The sequence below is a fragment of the Homo sapiens genome, chromosome 2 (assembly GCF_000001405.40).
Source record: "Homo sapiens chromosome 2, GRCh38.p14 Primary Assembly".
NCBI classification, from domain to species: Eukaryota; Metazoa; Chordata; class Mammalia; order Primates; family Hominidae; genus Homo; species Homo sapiens.
The window spans coordinates 101,087,791-101,108,536 of NC_000002.12; the positions used below are offsets into that span (position 1 = coordinate 101,087,791).

General features: G+C 41.0%; 1 protein-coding gene across 3 annotated transcripts in view, besides 1 other annotated feature; it reads right to left on the reverse strand.

Moving 5' to 3' along the window:
• Window positions 1-20,746, reverse strand: part of TBC1D8 (TBC1 domain family member 8) — a 144,155-nt gene that overhangs the window by 80,563 nt on the left and 42,846 nt on the right. For 2 of the 3 annotated variants that reach the window (NR_138475.2, NM_001102426.3), the window contains exon 2: window positions 2,464-2,574. Coding sequence is in view for 2 of the 3 variants with exons in the window: in NM_001102426.3 (NP_001095896.1) it covers window positions 2,464-2,574 (111 nt within the window). In the remaining variant the exon portion in view is untranslated. Of the gene's footprint in view, window positions 1-2,418; window positions 2,575-20,746 lie in introns of all 3 variants that reach the window. The other variant, NM_001330348.2, reaches the window with a different exon arrangement.
• Window positions 1,689-1,908: an enhancer, noted in NCBI's record as "active region_16299". NCBI's record gives its function as "activates an Ori minimal core promoter by ATAC-STARR-seq in GM12878 lymphoblastoid cells {active_cell/tissue: GM12878}" and the evidence as "EXISTENCE:reporter gene assay evidence [ECO:0000049][PMID:35858748]".

A 20,746-nucleotide genomic window follows, 5' to 3' on the forward strand; every position in this document is an offset into this window, starting at 1 on the left:
TTTTAAATGAGAGATTGGGAAAGCAGGGAGGAGAATAAGAATGCTGGCACCCTTGACTCAGAGGGTGGAGAGCCAGTGAACACTATCAGACTTCAAACATTGTTTTTCAAAAGCCACAATTCTAACCTTTTAATGCTTTCAAAAATCTCTTCCCTTAACCTTACTTGAACCTTTTAGAAAATAATCTCTCTTGTACTAAAGAAACATTTATTTGAAGTTTAACATTTCTTTGGTTTCATTTCAGTTTATTTCCTTTTATTGAAATCAAGCAAGTGTAATACTTTTGTTATAAAACCACTGACACACAAGTTGCATTTTTATGAAAGTCCTTCTGTCCATCTTCTCAACTATCCCTGTGTGTCTAAATGTCTTAGAAAGTTATCTGGGCTGATGCTCACCTCATGAAACTAGAGGTTACTTTGGGTGGCTGGGATTTGGGGAGATAGATACCTTCTTTGTATTTTTCAGTTAGCTGATTCATTTGACACACACTCTCTCTCTCTTTTCTTTTTTTTTTCCTTTGAGACGGAATCTCACTCTGTCGCCCAGGCTGGAGTGCAGTGGCATAATCTCGGCTCACTACAACCTCCTCCTCACCGCAATTCTCCTGCCTCAGCCTCCCGAGTAGCTGGGATTATAGGCACCCACCAACATGCCCAGCTAATTTTTGTATTTTTAGTAGAGACGGGGTTTCACCATCTTGGCCAGGCTGGTCTTGAACTCCTGACCTCGTGATCCACCCGCCTGGGCCTCTCAAAGTGTTGGGATTACAGGCGTGAGCCACCACACCCAGCCTCTCTTTTTTAAGAAATGGGCTCTCCCTCTATCACTCAGGCTGGAGGGCAGTGGCACCATCATACCTCACTGCAGCCTCGAACTCGGGTTCAAGTGATCCTCAGCCTTCCTAGTAATTGAGACTACAGGTACACACCACCACGCCCAGCTAATTTTTAAATTTTTTGCAGAGATGCGTGTCTCACTTTGTCACCCAGGCTGGCCTTGAACTCCTGGCTTCCAGTGATCCTCCCTCCTCAGCCTCCCAAAGTGCTGTGATTACAGGCATGAGCCACCATTCCCAGCCTGATTTCTTTCTACCGAGCATGCATCATCTTTGTCATTTTATGCAAATACAGAATGATCTGTCTTAATTAAAAAACAAAACAAACTGAAAAAAAAATGCCAAGATGTTAACAGTGATTAGTATTGGATCCATGGGATATGAATGTGAATTCTCTTCACACTTCTTGTATTTTCGAGGAAAAAGAATTCCAATGTTGGCCAGGCGTGGTGGCTCATGCCTGTAATCCCAGCAACTCTGGAAGGCCAAGGCAGGCTGATCACTGAAGGCCAGGAGTTCAAGACCACCACCCTGGCCAACATAGTGAGACTCCATCTCAATAAAATAAAATTTAATTTTTTTTTATTTAAATCTTGCTAGAGAACATGTAGAGGTGATTTTGAAAGTTTAAGTTAACTAATAAGGTGCTATGAGAAGATAGAAAACTAAAAAACCACCACGTATATATGCAGAAAGAAGATTAGCTGTGGATAAAGGGTTGCAGGTGATTATTTTTTCCTTCTTTCTTATCCACTTTTTCATTTCTGGAAGACGAGCATTTATTACTCGTGTTTAAAAAAAAAAAAGATGTTTTGGTTTTGTTTTTTAATAAAAGGGTCTTCTCAAGAAGTGGTGACTCCTGGCCCAAGAGGAACCTGAGTGGTTAGACAGAGCACCAGGTAATGCCTGTGATAGGAACAGAAACCCCAGAAGGAGAAGATGAGCAGGTGGTTTCCACCTTCTCTTAGCCCCCAGCTGTCCAGTGACTCATTCTCTCAGTGCAAAGGTGGAACATGGGGTCAAGACTGCCCTAGGTCAGACACAGCTCTCAGAATCTGCCCACATGATCACAATAGGAGAAGACTGCCCTGAGTCAGACACAGCCCTCAGAAACTGCCCACACCATTATGTGTATGCATCCAGGAGCACATTGGTAAGTCAGAAACAAGATTAAGAAGAAAATGGCTCGATTCGTTATCGACAATATACGAGCACCATGAAACACACCAATGAAAGCCTGGCATGCCCAAGCTATGCTGCCCAAGATTACAGCCTTTATGTGCTTTCGATGGTTTTTAAAAAAAAAAAAAAAAAAGATGGGAGGGGAAAGCAAGGGTTGAGAGGGAGGGGCAGAAAGGAGAGGAGAGGAGAAGAAGGGGAGAGGAAGGAAGAGGAGGGCAGGGGAGAGGAGGGAAGGAGAGGGAAGGGGAAGGAAGGGGAGTGGAGGGGAGGGGAGTTAAGTTCCTGAAAGCAGATGAGGGAGTTATCCAAAGGGGTTACCTTCAAGCTTCACCAACATGCAGATACTCAGCATGCTTACACCTTAAGGTTTGGAACATTCCAACTGGAACAAAACTCACCAGTGGCTATGGCCCAGTAAACGTCTGATCCATTCAGTAACTCACCACATGCTATGGGAGAATAAACCTGGGAGCCGGGAACTTGAAGCAGAATTCGAAATGGAGCGACCCGTGCATTGGAATCCAACACTGCATCCAGAGCGCCGACCAGGCGACCTTCAAAAGAAAAGAGAAGAAAGTGCACCTGTGAGCATGGGGCTGGCCAGCTCCTCATGCGTGTGAGGCATGTGGTCGCTGTCTGGACTCCATGCTGGGGTAGCAGAGACAGTTTTACATCCAGTTCTTCAACTCACCTCACAAAGCCTGAGCTCCATGGAGCCAAGGGCTCTGTCTGCATCCGCAGCAGGACCTGCCCCTGACAGGCACTCAGTACTCATTTGCTCAATCAATGAAGAGGTGAACAAAGGGTGCTGAACCAGTCGCCCAGCCTAGCTAAGGCACTAAGTCCCAGTACATAAATAAGCAGGGGCTCTGGACTCAAGACTGCCTGATGCAAACCCTGGCTCCACCACTTTCAATCTGTGGGGCCTTAGGCAAATCACTTAACTTGTCTGTGCCCTGGATTCCTTGTTGGTGAAATAAAATAAGCACAGTCTACCTACTTCATAGGGTAATTGGGATAATTAAATGAGTTAAAGTATCCAATATTCAAAGTGCTTAAACTATTGCAAGCCCATAAAAAGTACTCTATGTCACCCATTATTATTATTTTGTCATCATTATCCTCCTCTCCAATATGGTAGAATAATCCCTGCCTGCTCCAGGGTACTGTGAGATGTAAATAAGAAAACCGGCCAGGAGTGGTGGCTCATGCCTGTAATCCCAGCACTTTGGGAGGCCAAGGCGGGAGGATCACTTGAGGTCAGGAGTTCGAGACCAGCCTGGCCAACATGGTGAAACCCCATCTCTACTAAAATTACAAAAAAATTAGCTGGGCGTGGTGGCAGGCACCTGTAATCCCAGCTACTCGGGAGGCCGAGGCAAGAGAATCGCTTGATCCCAGCAGGTGGAGGTTGCAGCAAGCTGAGATCGCACCATTGCACTCCAGCCTGGGCAACAAGAGCGAAACTCCATCTCAAAAAAAGAAAAAGAAAAGAAAACCTATCAAAGTCTTTTACAGACCATAAAGCACGAAATGTGAGTGCAGGATTAGCATTTTCCTGTAATGAGTGGCATCAGAAATCAATGGCAGGCAAAACAACAACAACAACAAAACAAACAAAAAAGGCATCCCAAGCTGGGTGCGGTGGCTCATGCCTGTAATCCCAGCACTTTGAGAGTCCAAGGCAGATGATCGCTTCAGCCTAGGAGTTTGAGACCAGGCTGGGCAATACAGTGAGATCTCATCTCTACAGAAAATTAAAGAATTAGCTGGGCATGGTGGCAAGTGCCTGTATTCCCAGCTACTCAGGAGGCTGAGGCGGGAGGATGGCTTCAGTTTAGGAGTTCGAGGCTGCAGTGAGTAGTGATGATGCCACTGTGCCCTACCCTGGGAGACAGAGCAGGACCTCAGTTTCAAAAAAAAAGGCATCCTGATCCTTGATTGCCTGGGAATCTAGATGGCTAAGATGGCTGAGAAGATTAGGTCTTCAATTTACTTCACATATTACCCTTAACTAATAGGCCCTGAATAAGGGCCACAGCTGCCTGAGCAATTACTATGTCTATTTTTATACAGTTTAACCACCTCAAGTGTAAAGAAAAACTGAATCACTGGGGGCAAGTTACTTACATAACACCCCGTCATATATTTAGTACAAACACAGTATCCTCCTATATAACCACAGTACAACCATCAAATTCAGAACATTAATATTGATATGGCCCTGCCATCTAATCATAAGACCCATTCAAATATTGCCAAATGTCCCAATAATGTCCTTTTGCTACAATGGATCCAGTTCAGAATCACATTCAGTTGTCAAGTCTCTTTGGACTACGTGGGTCTGGAGAAGTCTTTCACTGACTTTCATGACCTTGACACTTTTGAAGCTTTATAGGCCAGTTTTTCTTGTAGCATGTCCCAAAGTCTGGGTTTGTCTGAGGCCTGGTCATGATTAGATTCAGGTTATATATTTTCGGCAAGAATCACAGAAGTGATGCTGTGTTCTTTTCACCACATCCTATCAGGTGGCAGATGACCTCTACTTGTCCCATTCTTGGTAACGTTCGCTTTCATCACTTGACTCAAATTGGGGCTGCCAGGCTCCTGCACTATAAAATTATTCCTTTTTCTTTGAAATTAACGAGTATTCTGTGGAGAAGTATTCTGAAGCCATGCAAATTTCCTGTTCCTCACCAAATATTTCATTATTCTCTTACTTATATCAGTATGGCCTCATGTTTTTCTCCTTTTTTCAAAGGGTTATAATCTATTACTATCATATATTTTGATGCTCTGATTGTCCCAGGTTTGGCCAGTGGGAACCCCTTCAAGCAGGCTTTTGTGTCCTTCGGATGTGTCCTCATCGTTCTTCATATTTTCTGGGACAACAAAATATTCCAACTTCATCTTGTACTTTCACTACTCTGGCCCTGGAACCAGCCACCATTTCTTCAAGAAACTCTGGTTTCTTTAGTGACTAATGGTATTTAAAAGCCAGTACGGGGAAGCCAGGTGTGCTCATTGCTAATGGGGTGCCTCCAGGTCCCCTCAGTGTACAGAGCCAGGAAATATATGTCTGTACATGTGTATGTGTGTACAGCTGACCCTTGAACAACACGGGTTTGAACTGTATGGGTCCACCAACACGTGGAGTCTCTTCTGCCTCTGCACCCTGAGACAGCAAGGCCAACCCCTCCTCCTCTTCAGACTACTCAACATGAAGATGATGATGAGGATGAAGACCTTTACGATGATCCCTTCCACTTAATGAATAGTAAATATATTTTCTCTTCATTATAATTTTCTTAACCTTTTCTCTACTTTCTTTATTGTAAGAACACAGTATATAATACACATAGCACACAAAAATGTGTTAACCAACTGTTTTATCAGTAAGGCTTCTAGTTAACAGTAGGTTATTAGTAGTTACATTTTTAGGGATCAAAAGTTATATGTGAGGACTTTTGACTGCACGGGGGTTGGCAACCCTAGCCCCAGCACTGTTCCAAGGCCAACTGCATACGCATTTACATACTTACATACATACTTACATACACACACACATATACATGTATTTGTTGACACATTTACATGTATTTGCATTTTCATATATATCTACATAGAGAAAAGCGAGTTCACACCAAAACCTCCAACTGCAATCCAATACCACAGAGTTCTCATTTCTTTCCATATTTGTAACTCCTTTTCCAACACCAAGTAAACTGGCTTCCATTATTCTCAAAAAAAAAATTTTAACCAGGTGTGGTGGTACACGCCTGTAATCCTAGCTACTCAGGAGGCTGAGGCAGGAGAATCACTTGAACCCAGGTGGCAGAGGTTGCAGTGAGCCAAGATCACACCACTGCACTTCAGCCTGGGCAACAGAGCAAGACTCCATCTCAGGGAAAAAAAAAGAGATGGAGGGTCACTCTATCGCCCAGGTTGGAGTGCGGTGGCACAATTTTGGCTCACTGCAACCTCCGCCTCCCAGGTTCAAGCGATCCTCCTGCCTCAGCAACCCAAGTAGCCGAGATTACAGGCACCTGCCACCACGCCTAGCTAATTTTTGTATTTTAGTACACCATGTCAGTCACGCTGGTCTTGAACTCTTGACCTCAGGCAATTCACCTATGTGGCCTCCCAAAGTGCTGGGATTACAGGCGTGAGCCACCATGCCTGGCTGATTCTCAAAATACTTACTTATCTGATCAGTCCTCCTGTTGCTACCAATATCCCCTCCCCAGCAGAGGCCCTCTTCACCCCATCCAGGCTATAACACACCCCACCCCTGCAATCTCCTTAATCTGCCCACTTAATAACCCTCAGAAAAGAAGGAAGAGCACTGAGCTTTTCTAGCAAATACTCCTTAGGCTGCTCAGAATTCCTGCCCCCTTCCTAGTTTGCTCCTAAGTTCCAGATGACAAAGGAGGCTGGAAACCTGTCTACTGGATAAAGGGGCTGCCACTTTAATACAGAATCTTAGCCATACCTCAGGGGAGCTCAGTGATTAGGAACATCAGGTTGGGGACAGGGTTAAAGCTGCAGTTGCAGGGGATTGATAAAACAACCTTTGCCTGTCAAGGACTGGGACAGCAGGTGGTGATAAGGAAGCTGATGAAGATCAGAAAGGGGCTAAAGACCCCACTCATCCCACACCCCCACATGCTTGGCACTTTCAACTACATTAAGAGATCTGCTGTAGAACTCATATCTAGTTTGATAAAAACCGGAGGGACTTTGGACAACATCAAATGAAAGCAGCAGGGAGGGTGTGCAGCCACAATATGGAAGTAGTGACTTTTTAACTGGAAAGAGTGGAAATTTTTCTCTACAAGACTCAGGTGCTTTTGCAAAGGTCAGGACATTTTATGTCAAGACCAACCCAGCCCCTTCAACTGGTGGGAAAGTGGACAGAGCAGCCATCAGAAAGCCACAGGGGTGCTTCCGGTTTCAGCTCCAACATGCAAAGAGCTTGGAAGTTATCACTCCCATATATATGACAAAGACAAGGTGAACAAATTGAAAAGCCATGATTTTTCTCAGACTATTCAGAGAACGAAGGGCATAGGTTAAACCACAACCTCGAAATGTAGAGAGAGATGGAAGAATCCAGAGACAGCCAAGATCAGCTTCCCTGGAGCAGTTTATAGCTTCTGCTGGAGCCATAAATCGTAGGAATATTTAAATGGTGATTTTTGGCAACTTGCTGGAGGCTGAGTGTGTAAGAAGAGTAAGAAACTCTTGAAAGCCACAGTCTCTAGGGTACCCCACAACTTGCATAGGTTTTAACACCAGGAACCCCGCCAGGTTCTCACCGTGAAGAGCCAGGGAAGATCCTCTTTGGCCCTTTCAGGGCAAAGGGAAAAGTAATCATTGTTCAATATCCTCAGGCCGTTCTCCATTAATAAAGGCCAACGCACCAGAGAAGTATTTTCTTTATTATTATTATTATTATACTTTAAGTTTTAGGGTACATGTGCACAATGTGCAGGTTTGTTACATATGTATACATGTGCCATGTTGGTGTGCTGCACCCATTAACTCGTCATTTAGCATTAGGTATATCTCCTAATGCTATCTCCCCCCCCCTCCCCCCACCCCACAACAGTCCCCGGTGTGTGATGTTCTCCTTCCTGTGTCCATGTGTTCTCATTGTTCAATTCCCACCTATGAGTGAAAACATGCGGTGTTTGGTTTTTTGTCCTTGCGATAGTTTGCTGAGAATGATGGTTTCCAGTTTCATCCATGTCCCTACAAAGGACATGAACTCATCATTTTTTATGGCTGCATGGTATTCCATGGTGTATATGTGCCACATTTTCTTAATCCAGTCTATCATTGTTGGACATTGGGGTTGTGGAAGTCAGTGTGGTGATTCCTCAGGGATCTAGAACTAGAAATACCATTTGACCCAGCCAGAGAAGTATTTTCTAGAGCCTTTTCCACCCTCCCTGGCCCATGCAAAAAGGGCATTTCTCATTAACTAGAGAAAGTCTTCTCTAGTCAGTAAGAAAGCTAACTCCATCTAGCTTTCTTGTCTCATTAGGGATGTAAGGGTAGGAGGAACAGAAATCACTTGTGAAGGTCACACCGAGGGACACAGGCCCATGGAAGACTGAGATTTATGCTACTATTATAGAACTCTTCCCCTCCCCCATACCTGACCACCACACCAACAGGCTCCAGTATAATGACAGTAACGACAGCTGGAAGTATGGCAAGACTCAGACTCTATTTGAGAAAGAGTTCTTTTTTTGTTGTTTTAAATTTTTTTATGTTTTTAGTTTTCTGTAGAGATGGGGATCTCTCTATGTTGCCCAGGCTAGTCTCGAACTCCTAGGCTCAGACAATTCTCCCACCTTGACATCTCATAGTGCTGAGATCACAGGCGTGAGCCACAGTGCTCAGCCAAGGAGTTCTTAAAGAAGCCCAAAGACAAATGGAGAGACCATAACAAGGACACCTGAGGAATCTGAACACTCTGTCACCTACAACTACAGTGAAGATGAAACACAGCCCAAGTCTGAGCCAGAATAACACAAAACTCATACTTCAGGACTATTTTCTCAGTTCCTATTACCCAAAATATTATGTCTGGCTTTTGACAAAAAAAAAAAAAAAAAAAAAAAAAAAACTATAATGCACGCTACAACAAAGTCTGAAGAGGTAAAGTAAGCATTGGAATGAAACTCATATGACACAACCTTGGAATTATCAGACAGAATTTAAAATAACTGCAATAAATAAGGGCTCTAATGAAGAAGGTAAACAATATGCAAGAACAGATGGGTAAACAGAGAGATGGAAACTCTGAGGAAGAATTAATAAGAAATCCTAGACGTGAAAAGAAAATCAAGGAAAAATGAAGACTGCCTTTGATGGGCTCATCAGCAGCATGGACACAGTCAAGGAAAAAAATCAGTGAGCTAGAAGATAAGTCAATAGAAACTTCCCAAACTGAAAAGCAAAGTGAGAGAGAGGGGGAGAGAGAGAGAGAGAGAGAGAGACAGCACAAGGAATAGAACATCCAGCAACTGTGGAACAATTCCAAAAGGTACAAGATGTACGTAATTGGAATAATAGGAGAAGAGATAGTAATCATTTGAAGCGATAATGGTCAGGGATTTTCCAAAATTAATGACAGACACCAAACCACAGATCGAAAAAGAACAGAGAACACTAAGCAAAATAAATGTCAAAAAAAATTGGTAAATCATATTCAAATTGCAGAAATGAAAGATGAAGAGAATGTTCTAAAAGAAGCCATAGGGGGAAAAAACAGCTTGAGGAACAAAGATAAGAATTACTGCAGACTTCTCATTTTAAAAAGCCTGCGAACAAGAGAGTGGGGTAAAATATTTCAAATGTTTAAAGGAAAAAAAAACCTAGAATTCTATATCCAGTGAAATTATCCTTCAAAATTGAAGAAATAACGGCTTCCTTAAACAAAAACTGAGAAAATAATTTCCAGCAGACCTAATTAGCAAAAAATGTTAAATGAAATTATTCAGAGAGAAAGAAAATGACATAGGTCAGCAACCGAAATTTATATAAAGGAAATGTGTCTGAGAATAAAGGTAAAATAAAATATTTTATTTTTCTTATTCTCCATAGATCAAAAAGATAATCGTCTAAAGTAGTAATAGTAAGAATGTACTGGGTGATTACAGCACATGGATAAGTGACATGAATAATAGTAAAGTCATAAAAATGGCAGAGAAGACTTGGAAATACTCTGTTATTTAAAAAAAAAAAATGCACCTGCATTTAGACTGGGCCCAGTGGCACAAACCTGTAATCCCAGCACTTTGGGAATATCACTTGAGGCCAAGAATTTGAGACCACCCTGGGCAACAAAGTGAAATCCCATCTCACTTTTTACATTTTTCACAAAAAATGTAAAAATTAGCCAGGCATAATTGCATGCACCTGCAGTCCCAGCTACTTAAAAGGTTGAGGTGAAAAGACTGCATTAGCCCAAGAGTTTGAGGCCACAGTGAGCTATGATTGATCACACTGCTGTACTCCAGCCTGGATGACACAGTGAGACCTTGTCTCAAAAAAATAAATAAAGCCTGCATTCAATGTGAAACAGTATAGTATTGTTTGAAGGTTGATGTAGATTAATTTAGAATTTATATTGTAAACCTTAAGACAACTACTACAAATTTTTTTAAGGAAGTATAGTTGACATGCTAAAGACAGCAAATAGAATCATTTACTTAATTAAATCAATTAAAACCAGAGAAGGCAGAAAAAGAAAGGTTTTAAAAAAAGAAAGAACAAAGCAATGAATAAAAAAGAGATGGTTGCTCGCACCTGTAATCCCAACACTTTGGGAGGCTGAAGTGGGCGGAGTACCTGAGGTCAGGAGTTCAAGACCAGCTTGACCAACATGGTGAAACCCCATTTCTATTAAAAATACAAAATTAGCCAGGTGTGGTGGCAGGGGCTACTCAGGAGGCTGAGGCAGGAGAATCGCTTGAAACCATAGGGTAGATGTTGCAGTGAGCTGAGATCACACCATTGCTTTCCAGCCTGGGCAACAAGAGCAAAACTCCATCTCAAAAAAAAAAGAGAGAGACTTAGACTGCCAAACAATAGTGGGAGATTATAACACCCCACTGTCAGTATTAGATCAACAAGACAGAAAATTAACAAGGATATTCAGGACTTGAACTCAGGTCTGAACCAAGTGGACCTACTAGACATCTACAGAACTCTCTACCCCAAATCAACAGTGTATACATTCTTCTCAGTGCCACACGGCACTTATTCTAAAATTGACCACATAATTGGAAGTAAAACACTCCTCAGCAAATACAAAAGAACTAAAATCATAACACACAGTCTCTCAGGCCACAGTGCAATCAAACCAGAACTCAGGATTAAGAAACTCAACCAAAACCACACAATTTCATGGAAATTGAACAATCTGTTCCTGAAAGACTCCTGGGTAAATTATGAAATTACAGCAGAAATCAAGTTCTTTGAAACCAATGAGAACAAAAAGACAACGTACCAGAATCTCTGAGACACAGCTAAAGCAGTGTTAAGAGGGAAATTTATAGCACTTAATCCTCACATCAGAAAGCTAGAAAGATCTCAAATCAATACCCTAACATCACAATTAAAAGAGCTAGAGAAGCAAGGGAAAACTGTTCCAAAAGCTAGCAGAAGACAAGAAATAACTAAGATCAGAGAAGAAGTGGAGGAGATAGAGACACGAAAAACCATCCAAAAAAAAAAAAAATCTATGAATCCAGAAGATGGTTTTTTGAAAAAATTAACAAGACCACTAGCTAGACTAATAAAGAAGAGAGAGAAGAATCAAATAGACACAATAAAAAATGATAAAGGGGATATCACCACTGATCCCACAAAAATACAAACTGCCATCAGAGAATACTATAAATAGTTCCACACAAATAAACTAGAAAATCTAGACAAAATGGATAAATTTCTGGACGCATACCATCTACCAAGACTAAACCAGGAAGAAGTCGAATCCCTGAATAGACCAATAACAAGCTCTGAAATTGAGGCAGTAATTAATAGCCCACCAACCAAAAAAAGCCCAGGACCAGATGGATTCACAGCTGAATTCTATCAGAAATACAAAGAGGAGCTTGTACCATTCCTTCTGAAACTATTCCAAACAATTGAAAAGGAGGGACTCCTCCCTAACTCATTTTACGAAGCCAGCATCATCCTGATACCAAAACCAGGAAGAGACACAACAAAAGAAAGAAAACTTCAGACCAATATCCCTGATGAGCATCGATGTAAAAATCCTCAATAACATACTGGCAAATCAAATCCAGCAGCACAGCAAAAAACATATCCACCATGATCAAGTCAGGTTCATCCCTGGGATCCAAGGCTGGTTCAACATATGCAAATCAATAAACATAATCTATCACATGAACAGAACCAAAGACAAAAACCACATGATTATCTCAATGGATGCAGAAAAGGCCTTTGATAAAATTCAACATCCCTTCATGTTAAAAACTCTCAATAAACTAGGTATTGATGGAACATAACTCAAAATAATAAGAGCTATTTATGACAAACCCACAGCCAATATTGCACTGAATGGGCAAAAGCTGGAAGCATTTCCATTGAAAACCAGTATAAGACAAGGATGCCCTCTCTCACCACTCCTATTCAACATAGTATTGGAAGTTCTGGCCAGGGCAATCAGACAAGAGAAAGAAATAAAGGGTATTCAAATAGAAGAGAGGAAATCAAGTTGTCTCTGTTTACAGATGACACAATTTTATATTTAGAAAACCCCATCATCTCAGCCCAAAACCTTATTGAACTGAGAGGTAACATCAGCAAAGTCTCAGGATACAAAAATCAATGTGCAAAAATGACAAGCATTCCTATACACCAACAACAGACAAGCAGAGAGCCAAATCATCAATGAACTCCCACTCACTATCACTACAAAGAGAATAAAATACCTAGGAATACAGCTAACAAGCGATGTGAAGGGTCTCTTCAAAGAGAACTACAAACCACTGCTCAAGGAAACAAGAGAGGACACAAACAAATGGAAAAACATTTCATCCTCATGGATAGGAAGAATCAATATTGTGAAAATGGCCATACTGCTCCAAGAAATTCATAGATTCAATGCTATTCCCATCAAACTACCATTGACATTCTTCACAGAATTAGAAAAAACTATTTTAAATTTCATATGGAATCAAAGAAGACCCCATATAGCCAAGACAATCCTAAACAAAAAGAACAAAGCTGAAAATACTACTAAAAATTTATTTATTTTTAGTACACACTACCTGATCTCAAACTATACTACAAGGCTACAGTAACCAAAACAGCATGGTACTGGTACCAAAACAGGCACACAGACCAATGCAGCAGAACAGAGACCTCAGAAATAACACCACACGTCTACAACCATCTGATCTTCAACAAACCTGACAAAAATAAGCAATCGGGAAAGGATCTCCTACTCAGTAAATGGTACTGGGAAAACTGGCTAGCCACATGCAGAAAACTGAAACTGGACCCCTTCCTTACACCTTATAGAAAAATTAACTATTAACTCAAGGTGGATTAAAGACTAAAATGTAAAACCCAAAACCATAAAAACCCTACAAGAAAACCTAGGCAATACCATCCAGGACATAGACATGAGCACAGACTTCATGACTAAAACACCAAAAGCAACTGCAACAAAAGCCAAAATTGACAGATGTGATCTAATTAAACTAAAGATCTTCTGCACAGCAAAAGAAATTAGTATCAGAGTGAAGAGGCAACCTACAGAATGGGAGAAAATTTTTGCAATCTACTCATCTGACAAAGATCTAATATCCAGAAGTTACAAGGAACTTAAACATATTTACAAGAAAAAGCTAAATAACTCCATCAAAAACTGGGTAAAGGATATAAACAGATACTTCTCAAAAGAAGATATTTACGCAGCCAACAAACGTATGAAAAAAAGCTCAACATCACTAATCATCAGAGAAATGCAAATCAAAATCACAATGAGATACCATCTCACGCCAGTCAGAATGGCAATTATTAAAAAGTCAGGAAACAATAGATGCTGGCGAGGCTGTGGAGAAATAGGAATGCTTTTACACTGTTGGTGGGAATGTAAATTACTTCAACCATTGTGGAAGACAGTATGGCAATTCCTCAAGGATCTAGAATCAGAAATACCATTTGACCCAGAAATCCTATTACTGGGTATATACCCAAAGGAATATCAATCATTCTACTATAAAGATACATACACATGTATGTTTATTGCAGCACTATTTACAACAGCAAAGACATGGAAACAACCCAAATGCCCATCAATGATAGACTGCATAAAGAAAATGTGGTACATATACACTACAGAATACTATGCAGCCATAAAAAGGAATGAGATCATGTCCTTTGCAGGGATAGATGAAGCTGGAAGCCATGATCCTCAGCAAACTAATGCAGGAACAGAAAATCAAACACCTCCTGTTCTCACTCATAAGTGGGAGTTGAGCAATGAGAACACATGGACACAGAGAGGGGAACAACACACACCAGAGCCTGTTGGGGGGTAGGGGGTGAGGGGAAGGAATGTAGAGGATGGGTCAATAGGTACAGCAAACCACCATGGTACACATATACCTATGTAACAAACCTGCACATTCTGCACATGTATCCTGTTTTGTTGGTTTTTTTTAGAAGAGAAAGAGGAGGGGAGTGGAGAGGAGGGGAGGGAAGGGGAGGGGAGGGGAGAGACAGAAAGAGAAAAAGAAAGATGCAATGAATAGAAAACACTTACAAACATAGTAGATATTAATCCAACTACATCAATAATCCCTTCAAGGGCCGGGTGCAGTGGCTCACGCCTGTAATCCCAGTACTTTGGGAGGCTGAGGCAGGCAGATGACCTGAGGTCAGGAGTTCAAGACCAGCCTGGCCAACATGGTGAAACCCCATCTCTACTAAGAATACAAAAATTAGCAAGGCGTTGTGGCCGGTGCCTGTAATCCCAGTTACTCAGGAGGCTGAGGCAGGAGAATTGCTTGAACCTGGGAGGCAGACATAGCAGTGAGCTGAAACCACGCTGCTGCACTCCAGCTTAGGTGACAGAGCGAGATTCCATAAAAAGTTAAAAAAAAAAAAAATCTCTTCAAGTATGAAAGGTCTAAGTACACCAACTAAATGAGATTTTCAGAGTGGATTAAAAACCAAAAAAAAAACAACAAAAAACATGGCTCAACTGTATGTTGTCCAGAAGAAACTCATTTAAGACTCACATAGGTTAAAAGTAAAGGAATGAAAAAAAGTAAAGGGATATGGAAAAAGTATACTACGTTAACATTAATCAAAAGAAAGCAGGAGTAGCTGTATTAATTTTAGACAAATAGACTTCAAAACAGGAAATATTATCAGGAATAAAGAGGGGTATTACAGGCCAGGCACAATGGCTCACACCTGTAATCCCAGCACTTTGGGAGGCCAAGGTGGGAAGACTGCTTGAGGCCAGGAGTTCCAGACCAGCCTGGGCAACATAGCAAAAAAAATAAAATTAAAAAAAAAATACCAAGCTGAGATACTTTCACCGGTGAATACTACTAAACCTTAAGAAAGAAATGATAACAAGTTTCCACAATCTATTCCAGAAAACAGAGCAGAGGGAACACGCGAATTCATTCTATTACAGTAAGGAGGCCAACGTTCCTGTAATATAGTAAAATCAAATAAAGATACTAAAATAAAGGAAACTACAGACTAATAGCTCTCAAGCAAAATTTTTCAACAAAATATGAGCAAATAGAAACCAACAATGCATAAAATGAATGATACCATGATCAAATGGGACTTACTCCAGGTATGCAAGGATGGTTCAACATTGGAAATATCGATCAATATAATACATGACATCCACAGGCTAAAGAAGAAAAAACCATATGATCACATCAATTGATACACAAAAAATGTTGACAAAATCCAACATCCATTCATGATTTTAAAAAAAAAAAAACTTGGAAGGGGGAAGCAGGAAACAAAAAAAAAAAAACTAAGGATCAAGAACTTCTTTTTTTTTTTTTTTCTTTTTTTGAGACAGAGTCTCACTCTGCTGCCTAGGCTGGAATGCAGTGGCACTATCTCGGCTCACTGCAAGCTCCGCCTCCCAGGTTCATGCCATTCTCCTGCTTCAGCCTCCCGAGTAGCTGGGATTACAGGCACCCGCCACCACGCCCGGCTAATTTTTTTGTATTTTTAGTAGAGACAGGGTTTCACCGTGTTAGCCAGGATGGTCTCGATCTCCTGACCTCATGATCCGCCCGCCTTGGCCTCCCAAAGTGCTGGGATTACAGGCGTGAGCCACCGCGCATGGCCAGAACTCTTTAACTTGATAAAGAACATCTCCAGAAAAACTCCCCACAGTTAACATCATACTTAATGATGAGAAACTGGACATTTTCCCACTAAAATCAGGAACAAGACAAGAATGTCTTCTTACATCACTCCTATTCAACATCAGAGTTAATGCAGTAAGATAAAAAGTGAAAATAAAAGATATATATATAGAGAGAGAGAGAAGAAAAAAACAAAACTTTGTTCACAGATGATATGCTTGTCTTTGTAGAAATATCTCAGAGAATCAGCAAGAAAATCTCCAGGAATTAATAAGCAAGTAGAACAAGGCTGCAGGATTCAAGGTTAACATGACAACATCTCTCCTACATACCAGCAATTGGAACAACTGGAACTGGAACAACTGGAATTTGAACAACTAGAATTTGAAGGAAAAAAAATTACCATTGACAACAGTAAAAGGTATTTTTGTTAGGCATAAGCCTAAATAAATATGCATAGGGTTTATTTGTATCAAACTACAAAACTCTGATGAAAGAAATCAAAGGAGATCTAAATAGATAGATATTCCACATTCATGGTTTAGAAGATTTAATACTGTTAAGATGTAATTCCTCCCAATTTTATCTACAGATTCAACGCAATCCCAATAAAAATCCCACACACTATTTTGTAAATATTGACAACTGATTCTAAAGTTGATATAAAAATGTCAAGATATAGAGAAGCCAACACAATACTGGAGAAGAAGAACAAAGTTGGAGGACTCACACTACGCAATTTCAAGACTTGCTACAAAGTTACAGTAATCAAGACAGTGTGGTGGTACTGGTAATAGATTAGATATGTAAGTCAATACTTAGTAAATACTTATCGTTGACTAAAAAGCAAAGGTAGTTCAGTGGAGAAGGACAGTCTTTTCAACAAACGGTGCTAAATCACTAGACATCCGTATGCAAAGAAATGAACCCAGACACAGACCTTACATCTTTCACAAAAAGTAATTCAAAATGGCTCATAAACCTACGTGTAAAACAGAAAACTATAAAACTTCTACAACATAGGTCAGGCGCGGTGGCTCATGCCTGTAATCCCAGCACTTTGGAAGGCCAAGGCGGGCAGATAACCTGAAGTGAGGCATTCAAGACCTGCCTGACCAATATGATAAAACCGTCTCTACTAAAAATACAAAAATTAGCCGGGCATGGTGGCATGCGCCTGTAATCCCAGCTATTCTGGAGGCTGAATAGGAGGCTCAGGAGGAGAATCGCTTGAACCCGGGAGGTGGAGGTTGCAGTGAGCCGAGATCACACCATTGCACTCCAGCCTGGGCAACAAGAGCAAAACTCTATCTCAAAAAAAAAAAAAAAAAAACTTCTACAACATAACACAGGAGAAGGCCTAGATGACTAAGTGTGGTGATGACTCTGTAGAGATAACACCAGAAGCATGATCCATGGGGAAAAAATTGATGTTAGACTTTATTTTAAAATTTTTGCTCTGCAAAGGACACCTGAGTACCAAAAGACAAGCCACTGACTGAGAGAAAGTACTTGCAAAACACGTCTGATAAAGGACTTATATCCAAAATATACAAAGAATTCTTAAAACTCAACAATAAGAAAACAAATGACCCAATTAAAAATAGGCAAAAAATCTGAATAGATATCTCACCACAGAAGATATACAGATGACAAATAACATATGAAGTGTTTTGCAACCACCCTGGTCAACATGGCGAAACCCTGTCTCTACTAAAAATACAAAAATCAGCTTGGCATGGTGGCTCGTGCCTGTAATCCCAGTTACTCCGGAGGCTGAAGCAGGAGAATCACTTGAACCCGGGAGGCAGAGGTTGCAGTGAGCTAAGATCATGCCACTACACTCCAGCCTGGGTGACAGACCAGACTCTGTCTCAAATTAAAAAAAAAAAAAAAACATATATATATATATAGTTGTCCAACATCTTTTGTCACTAGGAAATTGTAAATTAAAACAAGATACCATTATATACTTAATAGAATGGCTAAAATCCAAAAAACTGACGATACCAATTGTGAGGATGTGTAGCAGCAGGGACTCATTCATTGCTGATGGTAATACAAAATGCACAGCCACCTAGAAGATAACTTGATAGTTCTGTACAAAACTAAACACAGCCTTATCGTATGATCCCTGCAATCGCACACCTAGGTATTTACCCAACTGACGTAAAAACATATGTCTACAGAAAAACCTGCAAGTGAATGTTTATGGCAGCTTTATTCATAATTATCTAAAACTGGATGCAGCCAAGATGTCCTTCAATAGGTGAATGGATAACCAAACTGTGGTTAGATCCATTCAGTAGAGTATTATTCTGTGATTTAAAAAAAAAAAATCTATCGAGCCATGACTTTTCACAAACAGGAAACTTAAAAGCATATTGCTAAGGAAAAGAAACCCTCCTAAGAAAGCTACATACTGTATGATTCCAATTATTCCAGAAAAAGGAAAAGGGAAAACTATAGCAAGGGTAGAAAGACAAGTGGCTGCTAGAGGGAAAAGGTTAAATTAGTCAAACATAGGGGAATTTTAGGGCAGTGAAAACTATTCTGTATAATATTGTGATTGTGGATGCATGACACTGTGTGTTTGTCAAAACCCACAGAACTTTACAGGACAAAGAGTAAACCTTAATGTTTGCAAGTTTTAAAAATAAATCCTTTAGGAGGTCAGGGACCCCTGGATTTAATGCAGGATGTGACCCAGCAACCTGACTGTACTACACATGTTTGAAACAGCCTCAGTGCGAGGAGTGAGGGAAATAGGGGACAGCCCTAAGTAATTTTGGAAATAAGTGGAGTCTGTGGAAAGGACGGCAAAGAACCATACACAAGTACAGGACTCCATGGGCCACAGGTTAACAACTCTGAAACTACTACACATGCACAGATGGTCCTCGACTAACAATGGTTCCACTTAACGGTTTTTTGGCTTTACAGTGGTATGAAAGCAACACACATTCGGTAGAAACCATCCTTTGAATTTTGAACTTTCACCTTTTCCCAGGCTAGTGGTGCAAGGCACAGCACTCTCTCGTGATGCTGGGCAGCAGCTGTGAGCTGCAGGTCCCAGTCAGCCACGTGATCACAAAGATAAACAACCGGTACTGTGCCCTACAGTGCACTGTATTCAATACATTACATGAGATATTCACACTTTGTTATAGAATATGCTTTGTGTTAGAAGACTTTGCCTAACTGTAGGCTAATGTAAGTGTTCTGAGAACGTTTAAGGTGGGTGAGGCTAAGCTATAATGTTTGGAGGGTCAGGTGTATTCAATGCATTTTTGACGATGATATTTTCAACTTAGGATGAGTTTATTGGGATGTAACCCCATCGTAAGCTAAGGAGCATCAGTATATTGTAAATGAACCATTAAGAAAAAGGATGGCAGAGCGTGAGAGCCAGGTTTCTCACTTCTGCAGTAGGAGCTTATAGACAGGCAAGGGAAAGAGGCAAGAATGATCCAGATGGTAATGAACTAGAGTCAGAGACAGGTGTGAACTCAGGTTCAGCTTACTATAGATACAAAGGGTTACTGCAATGGTTAATTGTAGGTGTCAACTTGACTGGGCTAAGAGATACCCCAATCGCTGGTAAAGCATTATTTCTGGTGGTATCTGTGAGGGTGTTTCCAAAAGAGATAAGCATTTGAATCAGTGGACTAAGTATGGAAGATCCAATCTCTCTGTGGGCAGGCACTATCCAATTGGCTGAGGGCCCAGACAGAAAAAAAAAAGGCAGAGGAAGATATATATCCTAGAGGTTCTGTCTCCCTGGAGAATCCTAATACAGTTGCATGAAGAAATATTTATAGACATGCATATACACAAGAGTAAATTCACACAGATGTATTTCCTTGCTCTATCAGGAAAAAAATTCCTTGCCCTCTGAGAGGGCCTAGAAGCAATGAGCACACATAGAGCGCAGATTTGGTTTCTACTACCATGCTCCAATGAAAGGAACCAGGGCTCCTTGGAGAAATGGCTGCTTCTGGAACTGGAACAGGAAATATACAAGATGAGCCTGGAACCATTTACAGTGTCAAAAAGTAAGGAATGCTAACCATACACAACCCACAGTATGAAAGGTGGGGGAAGTAACTTTACATTGAAGAAACTGACAAATACTACCTCAGCCAGGTGATTGAGGACAGCATCAATAAAGGTAAGTCATGTTGACAGAAGGTACCCTTGAGCCAGGCATGGTAGCAGGTGCCTGTAGTCCCAGCTACTCAGGAGGCTGAGGTAGGAGGATCACCTGAGCCAAGAGTTTGAGGTTGCAGTGAGCTATGATCACCACTGCATTCGAGCCTGGGCAAGAGAGCAAGGCTCTGTCTCAAAAAATAATAGAAAGAAAAAGAGGGGAGTGGGGGGAGGGAGGGGAGGGGAGGGGAGAATGTACCCTTGATATGAACTGATGAGAATGGCACTTTATCCCTGTGGTCTTCCTCTCCCAAAGCCAATCACCCTAATCTATCATAAGAAAAGCATCGGATAAATCCCAACTGAGCGACATTCTATAAAATACAGGACCAGCATTTTCTCAAAACTGTGAAGGTCATCCAAAACAGGGAAAGTCTGAGAAACTGTCCCAGCCACATTGACAACTAAATGTAATGTGTTGTCCTGAATGGAATCCTGGAACACAAGACTAGGGAAATCTGAATAAGACCTGGACTCTGGGTAATAATAATTGTATTCATTTGTTACTGCTGCCATAACAAGCTACCACAACCATAATAGCTTAAAACAAAACAAACGTATGAGTCTGATACAGAACGCACTGCACTAGGATCGAGGTGGTGACAGGTGCGCGTCT